Source organism: Homo sapiens, chromosome 14 (genome assembly GCF_000001405.40).
Source record: "Homo sapiens chromosome 14, GRCh38.p14 Primary Assembly".
NCBI classification, from domain to species: Eukaryota; Metazoa; Chordata; class Mammalia; order Primates; family Hominidae; genus Homo; species Homo sapiens.
The window spans coordinates 88,068,612-88,087,566 of NC_000014.9; the positions used below are offsets into that span (position 1 = coordinate 88,068,612).

Genomic DNA, 18,955 nt, shown 5'->3' on the forward strand with positions numbered 1-18,955 from the left:
GGAGAGGTAGGTATTTCACAAAAGAAAGCTGAAGCTAGTAAAACATCTCCAGTTGGAACAATTATGCTATCTGTGTGATATTAGACTCATTTTAATGTCTCAGAGACTTAGATTTTTCTCATTTTAAAAATGTGAACAATTGGTACATTTCAGAGTTATTGTAAGGATTAATGAGAAAATATAAATAAACACACAAAATAATTAGCACACATAAAACATAAACACAAATAAAATAATTAGCCTGGTATAAAGAACAAAATGGAATTTCAATACATATATTTATATGGCAAGTTGGGTTGCTTTCCCTGTTCTCCCTTTTCTGGAGTCTGATGCCTTTTATGGTTTTTGTAATGTAATTCAAAAATGAGAAGCAGAGAAATATTGTTTTAACATCATAAGGTATAGTCATTTTTATTTCATTTTTCAGACAAAGAAATTGAGATGTAGAATTAGTTTAAGTAATGTGTCTATCCAGGTAGTAAGTTCTGAAGCCAAAATACTCTCCATCTTCAGAGCTTAAGCTCCTAACAATCTATACTATCTATTGCATAGTATCCGATCTATACTACGAGTCATGGCAGATTAAGGTGACCACAAATTCTTTTGACACTCCTCCCACTGAAAGATGGATTTTATGTCTCCTTCTCTTAAATCCAGGTTGGTTCTCTGATTATCTAATGGAATATAAAGGAAATGATGTTGTACCAGTTTGCTGGCCTAGGTCTTAAGAGACTAGTAACTTCAGTGTTCTATTTCTGTAATTACTTATTCTTAGAGCTCTGAGGATGCATGTAAGAAATCAGACTATCCTGCTAGAGAGACTATGTGCTCTCCAGTTCAGGGCACAGGCTTACCAAAAGACTGAGACCTAGCCATAGGACTATGGAATGCTTCCCACTCCCCAACACCTTGCCAATGCATTACTAAAGGCCTGTTTACCACAATTCCTCTTACCCAGTACACATCATGTTCACCTGCTATGGTTTTCATGTTTGTCCTCTCCAAACCTCATGTTAAAATTTGATCCCCAATGTAGCAGTGTTGGGAGGCGGAGCCTGGTGGGAGGTGTTTGAGTCATAAGGAAGGATCCTTCATGAATAGATGAATGACCTCCCTTGGGACTGAGTGTGTTCTCCTTCTAATAGTTCCCAAAACAGCTGGTTATTAAAGACGCTGGCACCTTTTACCACTCCTTCACTCCAACTTCCTCTTTTACCATGCAATGTCTTAGCATACACTAGCTCCATTTTTCACTTCCATTTTTCACTGTTAGTTGAAGTGGCCTAAGGCCCTCACCAGATGTAGTTGCCCAATTTTGAACTTCCCAGCCACCAGAATCATGAGCCAAATAAACCTCTTTTCAAAATAAACTACCCTGTCTCAGGTGTTCTGTTACAACAATGAAAAATGAACAAAGACACCACCTTTCATTGAAAAATTACAAGGCTAAAGAAAACATAGTTTGAAGAGTCTAAACAAGCATCAGAACTAGAGTCAGATGTACAGAAATACTGGCATTATCAGACTAGGAAATTAAAATAACTATGATTAATATGCTAAGGGCTTTAATGCAAAAGTAGACAACATGAAAAAACGGATGATGTAAGTAAAAAGATAAAAATTCCGAGAAGGAAAGAAACAAAATGCTGGAGATGAAATACAATGTAACAGAAGTAAAAAATGTCTTTGATGGGTTCATTAGAAACCTGAACATGACTGAGGAAAGAATCTCTGCTCTTAAACATTGGGTGTACATGGACATAAAGACAGGAAAAATAGATACTGGGAACTACCAGAGAGGGGAGACAGGGAGGGAGGCAAGGGCTGAAAAACTACCTATTGCATACTATGCTCACTACCTGGAGTACATTCATACTCTAGTCCTCAGCATCATACAATATATCTTTGTAACAAACCTGCTCAAGTACCCCCAATTCCAAAATAAAAGGTAAAAAAAAAATGAAAAAAGGATCTCCGAGTTTGAGGATATGACAACAGAAACTTTTAAAACTAAAAAGCAAAGAGAAAAAAAGATTGAGAAAAAATAGGACCAAATAGCCAAGAACTATGAGAAAACTACAAATGGTATAAACTACACATACTGGTAACACCAGAAGGAGAATAAAAAGAGAAAGGTACAGAAAAAAGTATTTGAAGCAATAATGACTGAGAAATTCCCAAATTAATGTCAGACACCTAATCAACAGATACAGAAAGCTCAGAGACGATCAAGCCAGGTAAATGCCAAAATAAAGTACACCTCAGTACATCATATTCAAACTTCAGAAAATCAAAGATAAAGAAAAAATCATGGAAGAAGTCAGAGGAAAAAAATCTTACCTATAAAGAAGCAAAAATAATAATTATATTTGACTTCTTTTTAGAAACCATGCAAGCAAGAGAGTGGAAGGAAATATTTAAAGCATTTAGAACCAAAAAAAAAAAAAATCCACCAACTTAGGATTCTGTATCCCATGAAATTATTCTTCAAAAGTGAATGAGAAATAAAGACTTTCTCAGGCAAACAAAATTTGAGGGAATTTGTTTCCAGTAGATCTGCTTGCAAGAAATGTTAGAAGTTTTTCAGAGAGAAGAAAAATAATGTAAGTCAGAAACTCAGACCTACAAAAAAAAAAGCATCAGAGAAGAAATAAGTTTAGATAAAATGAAAACATTTATGTTTCTTAATCTTAATGATCTAATAGATAGCAGTTTGTTCAAAATAATAACAAAAATATGTTTGATTACATATGCTCATGTGTGTATGTTTATGTGTAAGTGAAATGAATTACAAGTTACAAAGGACAGGAGAGAGGAATTAGGAATATTTCGTTGTCATTATTATAAGGTACTTGCACTACCTGTGAAGGGGTGTAGTGTTACTTGAAAGTGGGGTTGGATTATATATGTACATTGCAAACTCCAGGGCAAGCACTAAAAATAGTTTTTTTAAAAAAGCATAGGGGCCAGGTAGGATGGCTCACACCTGTAATCCTAGTGTTTTGGGAGGCCATGGTGAGAGGATCACTTGAGCCCAGGAGTTCAAGGCTGCAGTGAGCTATAATCACACCACTGCACTCCAGCCTGGGGGAGCGCAAGGTCAAACAAACAAACAAAAACCATAATTGACTATAAGTGATATGCTAAGAAAGGAGATAAAATTGAATCTCATACAATGCTCAATTAAAACCACAAAAGGCAGAAAAAGTGTGGAAGGCAAACTAGGAAGAAAGAACAAAAACACAAATAAAAATGTTAATGAATATGATATATATTAATCAAACTATATCAATAATCATTTTAAATGTTAATGATAGAAATATACCAATTAAAAGACAGAGATTTTTAGAGTGGATCAAAAACAAGACCAAACTATATGCCGTCTAGAAGAAACCCACTTTAAATATAAAGACACATGGAGATTAAAAGTGATGAGGGAAAATATAATATGCTAACACTAATTTAAAAAAAGAGGAAGTAACTATACTAATTTCAGACAGAGCAGACTTTAGAGCAAGGAATGTTATCAAGAATGGATAGAGTTATTACATAATGATAAAGGAGGTAAATACTTCATGGAAACATAATAATCCTCAATATGTATGCACTTAACAACACAGTATCAAAATATGTGAGGTAAAAACTGATAAAACTGTAAGGAGAAATGGGTGAATCCACTGTTAGGGTTAGACATTTTAACATGTCTTATTAGAAATGGACTGATTCAGGCAGAAAATCAGTAAGCACATTGTTGAACTCAACAGCACCATCAATCAACTGGATATAATTGAAATTTATAGACTACTTCATCCAACAACAGCAGATTACGTATTCTTCTCAAGCTCACATGGAACATTAACCAGGATAGACCACATTTGGGGTCATAAAACATGCCTTAACAAATTTTTAAAGATAAATATCATAAAACATCTACTTCCAGACTACAGTGAAATTAAACTTGAAATCAGTAACAGAAAGACAGCTGCAAAATCCCAAGATAATTGAAGATTAAACTGCACTTCTAAATAACACATGCCTCAAAAAAGAAATCTCAATTTTTTAATTTGGAACTAAATGAAAATACAACTTATCAAAATTTGCGGGATGCAGCAAAAGCAGTGCTTAGAGAGAAATTTATGGCATTGAATGCATATATTAGAAAATAAAAAGTATCTAAAATCGATAGTTTATGCTTCCACCTTAGGATACCAAAATAAGAAAAGCAGCTTAATTTCAAATTGAGCAGAAATCAATAAAATTGAAAACAGGAACTCAATATAGAAAATCAATAAAACTAAAACTAGTTCTTTGGAAAGATAAATAAAATTGATAAGCCTCTAGCCAGGCACCAAGAGTAGAAGAGAAGACACAAATTGCTAGTATCAGGAATGAAAGCGGGAACATCACTACAGAACTCATAGACATTAAAAAGATAATAAGGAATAGTATAAACAACCCTATGGCCACTACTGTGATACCTAGATAAAATTGACCAATTCCTTGAAAAATAGAATATACCAAAACTCAAACAAGAAAAAAAAGACAATCTAAATAGCCCTACATCTGTTAAAGAAATTAAATCAATGATCAATAACTTCCCAAAACAGACAGCACCAGTCCCAGAGCAATCACTGGTAAAATCTACCAAACATTTAAAGAAGACACTATGCCAATTCTCTACAATCTCTTCCCAAAAAAAGCAGACGGTATCCATCCTAATTCATTCTACAAGGCCAGCATTACCCTAATATCAAAACCAGACAGAGACATTTTAAGAAAATAAACTATAGATAAATGTATTTTATGAACATGAAAGATGAGATGCAAAAATCTTCAACAAAGACTTAGTAAGTCAAATCCAAAAATGTGTTAAAATAATTGTATACCACTACCAAGTGGAATTTATCTCAGGTATGTTAGGCTAGTTCAACATTTGAAAATGAATTAATATAATCCATCACATCAAGAGGCTAAAGAAGAAAAATCACATTAACATATCAATAGATGTAGAAAAAGCATTTAACAAAATCCAATATCCATTTATGATTTTTTAAAAATCTCAGCATGCTAGAAATAGAGGGGGACTTCCTCAATTTGATAAATAAAATCTACTAAAAAAAAAAAAAAAAAAGCCTACAGCTAACATCATGTTTAATGGTGAGAAACTCAAAGCTTTCCTGATAAGATCAGAATCACGACAAGGATGTCCCTGCTGACTACTGCTTTTCAACATGATACCAGAAGTTCTAGCTAATGTAATAAGACAAGAAAATAAATAAAGTTATATCAATGAGGAAGGAAGAAATAAATCTGCTTCTGTTTACAGGTGAAATGATTGTCTATATAGAAAATTCCAAATAATTGACAAAACTAATAAACAATTATACAAAGTTTGCAGGATAGAAGCTAATATATAAAAGCCAATCACTTTCCTTTATACCAGCAATGAATGAATGAAATTTGAAATTAAAAACATATTACCATTTACATCAGCATCCTCACAAAAATTCTTAGATATAAATACAGCAAAATATATACAGTATCTGTCTGTGGAAAACTAAAAAACTCTAATGAAAGATACCAAAGCAGAACAAAGTAAATAAAGACATATTCTATGTTCATGGACAGAAGACTTAATATTGTCAATATGTCAATTTTACCCAAGTTGAATTAGAGATTTAATGCAATCTCAATTAAAATCTCAGCAAGATATTTTATAAATATCAACAAATTGAATCTAAAATGTATATGGAGAGTCAAAAGACTCAGAAGAGCCAACTCAATATTGTAGAAGCAAAACAAAGTCAGAAGACTGACAGTACCTGACTTCTATATTTACTACAGTAATTAAAACACAGTAATTAAAGCTACAGTAATAAAGACCATGTGGTATTGATGAAAAATTAGAGCAAAACAACAACAACAACAACAATTAATGGGATGAGTAGAGAGCCCCAAAATTGAACTGCATGAGTATAGCCAACTAGCTTTAACAAAGGAGCAATGGCTATTCAATGGGAAAAAATATTGTGTTTCAATGAATGGTATTAGAACAACTAGACATCCACATAAAAAAACAGAGACACAGACCTTACACTCTTCTCAAAAATTAATTCAAAATATATAAAAGACTTAAATTCAAAACTGTAGAATTCCTAGAAGATAACATAGGAGAAAATCTAGGCGAACTTGGATGTGACAATGACTTTTTAAATACAACACGAAAGGCATGACCCATAAAATAAATATTCGATAAGCTGGACTTCTTTGAAATTGAGAACTTCTGCTCTGCAAAAGACAATATCAAGAGAATGAGAAGACTAGCCAGAGACTAGGAGAAAATATTTGTGAGACACACATCTTATAAAGGACTAGTATCCAAAATATACAAAGAGCTAAATTCAGCAATAAGAAAAAAAACTAGTTGATTTTAAAATAAGAAAAATACCTGAACAGACACCTCACCAAAGAAGATGTTAAAGTAAACATATGAAAAAATGTTCAACATCAAATGCCATTAGGGAATTGCAAATTAAAACAATGAGATACCACTGCACACCTATTAGAATGGCCAAAATCCAAAACACTGACAACGTCAAATGCTGGGGAGGATGTGAAAGAACAGGAACTCCCACTCATTGCTGGTGAAAATGCAAAGTAATACAACCACTTTGGAAGACAATTTGGCAGTTTCTTACAAAACTAAACATACTCTTACTATACAATCCATCAATCAATCATATTTTTTACCCAAATGATTGAAGGCTTATGTTCACACAAAAACCTGCACTTGGATATTTATAACAGCTTTGTTAATGATTGCCAAACCTTGGGAGCAACCAAGATGTCCTTCACTAGGTGAATGAACAAATAAGCTACGATACATCTAGACAATGGAATACTATTCACAGCTAAAAATAAATTAGCTATCAAACCATAAAAAGGCATGGAAGAAATTTAAATGCATATTACTAAGGGAAAGGACACAATCTAAAAAGGCTGTAAACTCTGTGATTCCAACTATATGACATTCTGGAAAAGGCAAAACTATGGAGGCAGTAAAAATATTAGTGGTTGCCAGGGGCTACAGGGAGGGAGGGATGAATACATAAAGCACAGAAAATTTTAGGGTAGTGAAACTATTCTGCATGATACCGCAATGAGGAATACATATCATTATACATTTGTCCAAACCCATAAAATGTACAAAACCGAAAGTAAATGCTAATGTAATCTATGGACTTTGGGTGACAATGATATGTCAATATAGTTTCGTCAATTGTAAAAAAGGTACCACTGTGGTGTAGGATGTCCACAGTGGGGGAGCTTGTGACTGTGTGGAGGTAATGGGGTATGTGGGAACTCTCTGTACTTTCTACACAAATTTTCTCTGAACCTAAAACTACTCTTTGAAAAAAAAGTTTATTAACTTGAAAAACATTTAATGAAAAGACTTTTAAATTCCTTCAATAAGGTCATTCATTTCTTGAATACTTTTATTAAACATATTCTCTGTGCCAGTGTATCAGTTTGGGTCCTCCGAGAAGCAGGCATCAAGACAAGACTAAATGTGCAAGAAAGTTATTAGGGGAATGTCTGTGAAAGAAATTGGAGACTTCCAGGAAAGGCTGAGAGAACCATTAGACTGTGATGTAGGTCTGACTTTGAGTAAAGAAGAGAGAGAAGGAAGGAAGGCTAGGTAGAAGCTTGCTAGATTGCTATGCAGTCTAAGGAAAGTTGGACAAGGCCATTGCAGAGCTCTCGAGCCAAAATTGCCCATCAGTGGAGTCTTGCATCTCTCAGAAATGGGTCTGCTTCAGTGTCGCTGCCGGGCACAGCCAATAGCTGGGAAACACGGATTTGACACAAACTCAGTGATGGATTTCACAGCCAAGCAGCTGGAGCCCTTGGTCCCTACAGTTGGAGATCTGAGAGGCACATTCTCATGGCCACCACAGAGAGGAACTTTTTTATCCACCAAAAAATGAGAAGAGAGGTTCTAGTGTGGAAAGGAGGGGAGGACTTAGCCTAACCCTGCTTCTAACCCAGTAGCTATCCCCTAGAAGCCATTCTGGTGAGACAGCAAAAGCCTGGGCCTTTACACCAATTCTCCCAAATATGGAGAGATGCAGACAGAGCGAGAGGATTTTGTCTAAGTTTATTCAATCAAATTGTTGATATATTTTTGGCTGGTTTGTACTCTCCCCTGCCCCCTATTTATTAAGTATTGGAGAATAGAGATCCTGTGAGTTCATTTCAATTCACTATTTTAAGTCGTAAGTCCTCCATTAGCTTTCTAATATCACATCAGCTACTATTAGGGGAATGGGCTGAAGCAAAGAGACAATTAGGAGCCCAGACTAAAGTAGTGGCAATGGAGGTAAAGATAAAAGAATCGGGCTGGACACACTGGCTCACGCCTGTAAATCCAGCACTTTGGGAGGCTGAGGCAGGTGGATCACTTGATGTCAGTACAAAAATTAGCCAGGCGTGGTGGCATATGCCTGTAATCCCAGCTACTTGGGAGGCTGAGGCAGGAGAATTGCTTGAACCCGGGAGGCAGATGTTGCAGTGAGCCGAGATCTTGCCACTGCACTCCAGCCTGGGCAACAAGAGCCAAACTCCAACTACAAAAAAAAAAAAAAAAAAAAGAGAAAGAGAAGAGAATTGATTGAAAATATATTTTGGAGACGTAATCAACAGGATTGCAGGTAGATTAAATGTCCCTGTCTTCAAAATTTGCACACTTGGACAGACTGCTGAAGTATAGACAGTCAAAAGGCCATTACAATGTGTAAATATTAAGTGCCGTAACTCCTTAGCTTCTACCACAATCTTACCATGGAAAAGCCATCTCAAAGGATGCTTTTAATTGCATCATTTCCTATCCTCTTGTGATTCCCACACAAAAAAGACCTATCACTGTCATTTTCATTTGCTAATATTGTGTTTAAATTTTCTTTTCCAAATGAACTCATCTACTAAAAGCAAATGAGAACTCAAAACCATTTTATAAAACCATCTGGGTAATAATGTAAGAGCTCAGCAATTTTCAATTAGGTGGAGACAATGTCCCCAAATAGGAAATTCGCCTGAATGTTGGAAACAGGGTATTAAACAGCACATACCAAACATCTTGTGAGCCTTCCATATCTAACACCCAAGAGATCATACTGCATTTTTCAGTGAGAACCCAGGATTACTCTAAGAAGTTGTCTTTGATTTCTTTTCTGAGCACAATACCTGCTTTAATTAGCCTAAATGAAAGTGTCTTCTATTAGACCACGCTCAATCTCTAAACCTGGCTACTGACATTCTTGGAAGAAGGGTGAGTGTACATGAATGTAAGCGGCCTTCCCATGCACAGTGACCTCAATGCCATGCTCTTCACATGGGGTCTCACTAAAGTGTGTTCTGAGGAGGGGTATGCAAGTTTGCATCCAGAGAGGAGACAATGAGCACCATGAGGGAGAGTAACCCACCAGCTCCACAGAGCTGGTGAGATTCAGAAAGGAAAAGCACATCTAATGAGGCTGCTGAGGTGTGATGTAAGTGGGCCCTGGGAGATATAAGTCCCACTTCCATATCACCTACGAATTCTTCAGTGACATCTACATCGTGCATGGAAGCATTTTAATGAATAGTCTGAACTTAGTAAGAATACAAACAGTAATAGTTTTATTTTTCTCTTTCCACTGCTTTCTGCATATTCTGATGGATCGCCTTTCTCTACCTTTTAATGACATCCCAGGTAGATGCAGTGATTATCTAATCCCTTTTGTTTTTTTACAATCTCCTTTCTAAAGGAGATTTTTACATACTCTAACATTCTGTCTAATCTAAAATAAAACTTGAACCTCACATCTAATTTCAGGCCCTTTCCCTTTCTTTTCTCCTCACTACCTTCCTCCACTGCCCACTCCTCCAGTCAGGCTTGAACTTGGCTTGGGACTTGCAGTAGAGGTTGAGCATGACCTGTTCTTCCACCTTCTTCCCTCTCTTCTGCCCTTTTTGGGGTCAGTGCATGAAGAGGGATTAAAGGAAGAGGCAAAAGTCTCTTTTCCCCCTTAGATAGTCACTGTTATCTTTCTCCCTTGGCTGACACTAGGTGGCCCTTCTGTGTTGCCCACTTTCAAATGCTGGCTTCTTGTGAGATGTGTCTGAGTTCTCAGAGTCACAGTGGGAACTACCTTACTATTCAGGTCCTGGAGGGGATGGCGTGCTCTCCAGTTGCTCTCTTTGGACCATCTCTTAGCTCCTGCCCCCCACCATGGTACTTTCCACAGTTGAGTCCCCACTCACATGTGCTGCCCTCTTAGGAAGATGCTTTCTAGATCACTTAAGCCTGGCCAGCTCCTGTGGCAAGGAAAATGCTTGCCAAATGCTGGCCCTCTTATCCTTTTTCTCAACCCAGCCATTGCAGGCTGCACCATCCATCCTCATACCTCCACAATCGTCCAGGTTGTAATTATGCCCCATTCTCTATATGCAGGGATCACTCTAAGCTCCAGTGTCAAGGAGTCAAGTCCTTCAGGAATTCTCTGCCTCCACTCCCTGTGGCAGAGCTAGAGTGGCTGCCATGCTTCTGAGCTCAGCCAGCATCCAGAGAGAGAGTGAGATACAGCCTCCTCTTCTTGAAGCACCCACTTCTAAACTCTGTGACAGTTTTCTTGGAACTCTGTTATGTGGATCTGGAGATGACAATGTCACAGCACTCCCCTCTAAGCCTAAATTCCCCCACACCGATGAACTATTAGGTGAGTTTCCTTCAAATGTCATGTCTTCACTTTATATAGGATAGTTAGGATGTGGTGGGCGGTAGTGATAGTCAGAGTATCAATAGATTACCCAGAAAGCCATAGAGGGCACCTCTGCCAGCTTCCTGACACTGTTGTAAAAATATGGGGGAACTTGCCTGCTCTCTTCAGCTTTGGGGCTTTACAAGAAACTCTGAGAAAATAGGGAAAGTCTCATGCATAAGCAGGTTATGCACACTATTGCATTGGTGTGAATGGGTCATTCACTGTAAATATAAGAGCTGTGGAGGACGTGCGTTCAAGATTGGTACTAGGTGAGAACCAAAGCCTCTGGGGTGAGGGGGCACATATAATGCATATATACAAAAAGGTAATGTTATAAGCAGTTTCTGAGCATCCTGTGCTGGGTGGACAAAAGCACATCAGAGACTGCATAATGAGGGAATTTCTAATGAATCAGCAAATATTAACAAAACCCATCAATGTGCCAGGCAACTGTGACAGGTGCTAGAGATATAGAAATGAATAGAACCCAAAGGTGGTGGAGGAGTCTCACTTGAAAAACATTGTCCAGGCAACTAATGGTTAGGTGAATACAAACAAAAGTCCCAATCACACTCTTTCCTAAATGGATTTGTAATTGCCTCCATTGGGAGCAGATTGCAATATCAATAACTACAGTATAATGAACTGACTTGCTATTCCATTTTCATGGGGAACTTTGCAGTTTCTCCACTAAGCCATGAATCATGTTTATTTGAAGACCAATTTCACTCCCACCCAGTATCCACAGGAAGAAGTGCACTCATCCCAGAGGCTCAATTACTCCCTCCCGCTTCCCAGCACTAGCCTGGAGAAAGCTCCGAGAATCATACATTATTGCCTCTGAACTGTGGCTAATTTCTTAGAGTGTTTAAGAATTTGTATAAATGGTTATCTTTAAAGATGCATCAAATTAGAGAAAAAAAATAAATAATATCCTGAAGTTTAGAACTTCATCAACTCAATCAGTGAGCATTTCCTTTTGCCAGTTAACTCTTCACTTACTGTGATTTGTACCTCCCAATTTGTATACATAATGACTAAGTTTCATTGGCTTGCATAAGTAAATGGTTTTTGTTTTGGGGTTTTTTATCTACATACAATTACTATGTATTAAAATCTTCCAGGATGCTAGGAACTTTGTATGGATTAGTTCTTACAACAACTGTAGAAATAGGTAGTGTTATCCCCATTTAATAGGTGATTAAATGAGGCCCAGAGCCATTAAATAATTTGCTGACACTCATGCAATTAGCATTGTGGACAGAGAATTTCAAGCTAGGTTTCTCTAATCCAGATCTTAGAGTCTTCCCCTACTGCATCTCTCTAAAGAAGATTAAAGAAAAATATTCTGAGAAATGTAGCCAAGAAGTGAAAAGAAAAGCTTATGCATCTCTACTAAATAGGTCAACAGTAGCAACACACCACCTTGGATATGCTATGTGCCAAATACTCTGGAGTCCTTGTCTGAAAAGCTTCAAGAAGAGTGACATAACTGTTAATTTTCTCTACCTTAGTGGTGTAACACCAAAATGAGAATATCCACCGTTCTCATTACTGCCACATTTCCCCAAATCTCCAAAAGACATCTAAGTGTCATCTGGTCCCACGATCCCTCCCTAGACCCACCACATTTGCTCTGAGAGGTCCTCTAGTCCCTACTGGAACACAGTCGGGAATGGGAACTCACGGCCTCCCCAGGCAGCCCCTTTCATCTTTGCATGGCTCAGAGATAAAATTATTCTGAGCCTGGATCTCATGCCCTGTGGTTTCTGCTCATGGTTCTGCCTTTCGAAATTCAGAATAATTTTAATCCATCTTTTACATGACAGCTGTCATATATTTGAAGGCATCTCTCTATTCCCAGTTGAAACATCTAAGCATCTCCTGGCTTTTTAAGTATAAATATGATATGATTTTAAATTCCTTCATTATTCTAGTCATTCACCTCTGGTCTTGACTGCTACCTATATGTCCCACCTGGACAATTGCAGTAGCTTCTTGGCTAGTCTTCTTCTTTCATTCATAAACTATAGTCTAAACTCCACTCAGCACCTGGGATATTTCTTTAAAATGTATGATCCTGTCTTTCTCCAGCTGAAAAACTTCCAATAGCTTCATTTAGAACAAAATCCATACTCCTCACTTCAGTGCATTAGGCACTCACTGTTTTACTCTCAGAGTGACGGTTAACTGACCTGAAACAATAAAACTTCATCCTTGCTGGATGATTTTGCAACTGCTCTGTATTTTATTGACATTCAGATAAATACTCATGTGAAATATGTTCAGAGCAGATTCAAGGGTACATTTAATTTGTCATGAAATGCAAGCATGATCTGAAATGCAAACGGGTCCTAAAGTAAAATACTCTAACCTCTGACCCTGACGCTTGGAATATTTTATGAACTTTTCAACCTCTTATAGAAGCTAGCTCTTCTGACACAAACTCTAGCTTTTATGTTATTATAAACATCTAGGATGTAGAAGGTTTTTTATCTTCTCATCAAAGAAGGACATTCCGTAGCCATTCTAAATAAATCCAAAATAATATAAATAAAAATATAAGTGCAGTATGTTTTATGCTGTAACACCTAAACTAGGTGTTCTTGATCTGGAATCCATGAGGCTCTGAAATTCTCTCTCTCAGTAAATTTTGATTTTAAAACGTAATCAGTGAATGAAAGGGAGACTCCTCTTTGTAGAAATCTCTGCGCGAACCATAGAAGCTGGTTGGCAAGATCAGATATGTTGATGTTAACCACTCACCTATGTCTTCATTCCACTATAACTGTTGCCTGTTGTCTTACTGAGAGCCAGCACCAAGCTAAGTGCAGGGAATCAGTGGGGAGCACTCAAAGCAGAGCACCTGGAGAGGATGTGGAGAAATAGGAACACTTTTACACTGTTGGTGGGACTGTAAACTAGTTCAACCATTGTGGAAGTCAGTGTGGCAATTCCTCAGGGATCTAGAACTAGAAATACCATTTGACCCAGCCATCCCATTACTGGGTATATACCCAAAGGACTATAAATCATGCTGCTATAAAGACACATGCACACGTATGTTTATTGCGGCACTATTCACAATAGCAAAGACTTGGAACCAACCGAAATGTCCAACAATGATAGACTGGATTAAGAAAATGTGGCACATATACACCATGGAATACTATGCAGCCATAAAAAATGATGAGTTCATGTCCTTTGTAGGGATATGGATGAAATTAGAAATCATCATTCTCAGTAAACTATCACAAGAACAAAAAACCAAACACCGCATATTCTCACTCATAGGTGGGAATTGAACAATGAGAACACATGGACACAGGAAGGGGAACATCACACTCTGGGGACTGTTATGGGGTAGGGGGAGGGGGGAGGGATAGCATCGGGAGATAAACCTAATGCTAGATGACGAGTTAGTGGATGCAGCACACCAGCACGTCACATGTATACATATGTAACTAACCTGCACATTGTGCACATGTACCCTAAAACTTAAAGTATTAAAAAAAAAAAGCAAAGCAGAGGACCTGTCCTCAGAGAGTTCAGTCCACTGTTGAAGACATATGTTAAATCAATAATCATAGAAATATGCCATTACAAACTGTGATAAATGCTATAAAACCAAAATGCTGGAAAACCTAATTTAATGACAGAGCCTTGGACAGCCATCCTAGGGAAAGTAATGTTTTAGCTGAAAGCCAAAGGTTGAAAAGTAGTTCACCAGTAAGGAATTCCTGCTAGGCCCTGCACTAAAGGTCTCCAGTGCTTCTCTGTGGGTATGTTTCCTGGGAAACTTCCCAAGGGGTGGGTACCTGTGTAGTAGTTTGTCTCCAAAGACAGCCCCCATCCTATTCCTAATGGGTTCCTCTTAGTACCTACAGGTGACTCCAATCTCTGGGTGAATTTGGGTTGGCCTTTCGCTGTTTAGAACAATAGAACATGGCAGAGGCGATGTTGTGCCATATTTGTCACATGGAAGGGCATTAGGGACCGGACATGTGAGTACCGAGGCCAGGCTGATATCTATTTCATTTAGGCCTTCTGATGACGCCAGCTCCTGCAGCTATCTAAGTGCAACCATGTGAGACAGCCCAACAAGAACTGCCAAGCCAAGCCCATCAACCATCAACAGAGAATCATAAGTCATTATTTCAAGCCAACACGTTTTGGGATATTTGGTTACACAGCAAAAGATAAGCAGAATACCTGTCCATGATCTTGAAAGACTCTTTTGGGGGGCTTAGCCTAAGAGAACTAAGTTTAGATCAGCTGACAGGGCCTCCTGAATAATGTTTATTCAGACGTTCTTACTCCAATGGCAGGAAAAAAGAGTTTGTCCTCCCAGTGGACCCAACCCTTACCTCTCCACATGCCAAGCCTCCCCTTGTTCAGGTCTGGAAGGAAGTGACCCAGGATGTCTCTGACAAGATCCTACCCTAACACTTGACTGGACTCTCCGTGAGAGCCTTTACCAGTTTTGTTTAATTTCTTCCAGTTTCTGCACTGCCATGGTTTCCAAACCTTTCATAAAATTCCAGCTCCAAGACAGATAAAAATGGTGTTTCTCTTTCTCAGGATGGGTAATTTTATTGTCATTGTCATCTCTCGCTTTTTTAGGATCCAGTATCTGCCGGAGGAGCCCCACCTTCTGCTACTATTATGTTCTTCAGATGAGTAGAAGAGAGTGGGGAGGGAGAGAGCAGGAAGAAGAAAGGAAGAATAATGTCTTGAAATTGGTAAAAGCGTTTTTGTTTGCACATCCTGCATTATTAATATTTCTTGTTTAGCATAATTAGCTACCCTCTCAAGCTTACACACAACCTGCAGTGTTTATGCCTTCCGATGATAGCTAAACCATCAGCAAAGCAGTCCAGGTCCCTGAAGGCTGAATGCAGGTGGTTCTGAAGGCTGCAGGATGCATTCAAAAAGCAGGATACATAAGCTTTAATTGTTGCTAAAAATACATTCACTAGAAGAATCGGACTCCTTCTATCTGTCTGGAGTGGATAAAAGCCAACTATGGATTCAGTAGTCTAAAGAAAGTCGCAGAAGAACAAAGAAAAGGTAGACAAATGGGCCCAAATGAACTTCATTAATGAGAAAAAAAGATAACTAATATAAGACAATACCACTTCTCTTTATTCAAATAATTGGCAGTCAATTTTACTTGGACAATAACTATGGCCTCAAATGTGATTTCAGGCTCAACAAAGCAGTGCAATTTAAGGTCTATCATGCCTTGTTGTCATGCTTCACGCAGCCTGGAATAAGTAATTCAATACCCCTTACAGGATCACCAGCTATTAAACCAGGATAAGAGCTTAGAGGCAGAATTACACATTCTATGATATATTATTATTATATAATGTATTATTTGTATTCTATTATTACATGTATACTTCAGTGGCCTGAGTTAATATTTTTCCACCAGCCACTAATTCCATACTCAAGAGTTATTCATGAAAGAAAAAAATGAACTTTTTTGACCTGTTAGAAATGGGTCAATATGAAAAGAATGTACATGTATGGGAGTGTGTGGAAGTAACTGTCCTCAATTTGATTAGCAGAACATTCAGCAGGAACTGTGGAAATCCAAGTCAAGTAATATTCTCAACAGGTATTAACATAGTGCTAATTATTTGCTAGATACTGTTCTCAGTCTTATCTATACATTAATTCATTCAATCCTATAAAAAATCTCTTTGAGGTAGAGACTTGACTACCTCTCATTTGTTAGATAAGGAAATTGGGACATGGAGGTTACATAAATCACCTAAGTTCACATCATTAGTATCTGCTGGAGTGAAGGTTTGGACCCAGGCAGTCTGGTTGCAACCATCTGTGTGTTTAAACACCACACTAAATTGCCTCCCAATTCAAAGTTGAATGTTTCCATATTTACAAGTTATCAGGCTTATTTACGCTAAAACAAGTCATTCCTTCCTTTTTAGTGTACAGAGTGCTTTCACATATATTTTTTCATTTGATCTTTGCATCAGCTTTGAAAAGTAAGCATGGCAAGAACGATTATCCCGATTTACAGATGAAGGAACTTAACAAGCATCTTCCCCAATTCCTTTATACTTCTGGCAAGAAAAGTAAAGCTGAATGTCTAAATAATGCCTACACATAAATATTAAAATAAGACAAACAATTCAATAAGAAATAGGGAAATCCATGGGCAGATGTTCTGCAGATGAAACACATGGCTTGCAAACATTCAAAGAGGTGTTGAACATTATCAGGGAGCCGGGAAATGCAATTAAGGCCAGAATGGGGTACCAATTCCCATGGCTTTTTCAGGCAAAAATGTAAAAATCAATCTATACCAAGAGATAAAATAGAGCCTCAGGATCTGTATGTTGCTGATAGAAATGTGAATTTAGAAAAATTTGACATTCTCTACTAAAGTTGAAATTAATATATCCTGTGACCCAGAAATTTCACTCCTACATATATCCTCAAAATACATTCTTATACATCAACAAGAGACATGTGCAAAAATGTTTGCATCAGCATTTTCACAGTAGCAAAAAATCTAGAAACAATTCAAATGTCCATCAACATGAGAGTGAATTAATTCATCGCATAAAAATTCACTTAATGGAATATTAAGTAGAGTTTAAATGAATGGATTATAAAAACATATGTCAATATGGGTGAATCTTAGCAGTATAATACCAACTGACTAAAAAGCAAATCTCAAGGTAAATAAGTTGATAGAGAAAGGAAAGCTAAGGAATGACGAGATTTGGAGGGAGAGAGTCAGGAGTGTGGGAATTTGGAGGAATTCCATAGGGGTAGTGTGGCAGGCAGAATTCTTAAATGTCCGCAGGTGACCCACACTCTTGTATAATCACTTCCCCTTAAGTGTAGGTGGGATCTGTAACTTTCTCCTAACCAATACAATGTGACAAAGGTGATGGGGTATCCCTTCTGTAATTAAGTCCTGTTGTATGGTAAAGATGAAGGAATTTTGAAGATGTAATTAAAGCCCCTAACAATTGGATTTAAATAATCAAAAGATAAATTACCCTGGGTGGGGCTTACCTAATCAGGAGAGCCCTTAAAATGAGTTTAGAAGTCAGGTACTTAAAGCAGCAGAAACTCTTTCTCTTCATTGCTGATTTTTTTTTTTACTTTTAATTTAAGTTCAGGGGTATATATGCAGGGGTGTGATATAGGTAAAATCGTGTCACAGAGGTTTGTTGTACAGATTATTTCATCACCTAGGTATTAAGCCTAGTATCTTTTAGTTATTTTTCCTGACCCTCTCCCTCCTCCCATTCTCCATCCTCCAGAAGGCCTCAGTGTCTGTTGTTCCCCTCTATGTGTCCATGTGTTCTCATCATTTGGCTCCCACTTGCAAGTGAGAACATGCAATATTGGTTCTCTGTTCCTGTGTTAGTTTTCTAAGGATAATGGTCTCCAGCTTCGTCAATGTTCCTGCAAAGGACATGATGCTGACTTTGAAGATGCAAGCTTCCACATCTACAGCCTCAAGGAAACAAATTCAGCCAACCAACTGAGGGAGCTTTCCTTGTCCTGCCTCAAGATGAGATCACAGTCTGCCCAACACCATGATTTAGGCCTTGTGACACCTGGTATGGAAGACCCAGTTAAGTTCTCTCCAAACTCTTGACCCACAGAACCTGTGAGAAAATATATGGATATTATTTTAAACTGCTAAATTTGTAGTAATTTGTTATGCAGCAATAAAAAAAACTAATGCAAGGAGATATCAATTATTGTAAAAAGCTTAGCTTTTGTTTTAAAATATAGTTCACCAGTAGTAAGTTACTAATAAGTAACTAAACAAATAAAAGCAAGCCATTTACAAATCAATAATAAGAGTAAGTCATGAACTAAAGATTGTAATTAATCAATTTCTGTACGCCTGTAATGAAAATAAAGGAGGAAAAGAAAATGAAAGAAAAGAGACCAGGGACCCGCTCTCTTCCTTTGTCAGGGAGCTCAGATTAGAACTTCCAGTCCAGTGCTCTTTTCTACTATAATTGGTTACCTCCTAATTCAAATTCTAAACACCTAGAGTCACTAAAAAGTGTTCAGAAATCAATGGTTATGCAAAAATTATATTCAACCCATGAAACCTTGAGTGAATCAACCCATCTTTCCCCACGCCAAAC

At 37.5% G+C, this 18,955-nt stretch overlaps 1 long non-coding RNA gene across 1 annotated transcript in view; it reads left to right on the top strand.

The window, feature by feature from the left end:
• HISLA (HIF1A stabilizing long noncoding RNA) overlaps window positions 1–18,735 on the top strand; it is a 62,797-nt gene extending 44,062 nt beyond the window's left edge. Inside the window, exons 3-4 of the long non-coding RNA NR_046094.1 lie at window positions 15,426–15,544; window positions 18,217–18,735. This is a non-coding gene — a long non-coding RNA (HIF1A stabilizing long noncoding RNA). The remainder of the gene's footprint in view (window positions 1–15,425; window positions 15,545–18,216) is intronic.
• Window positions 18,736–18,955: the final 220 nt, after the last annotated feature.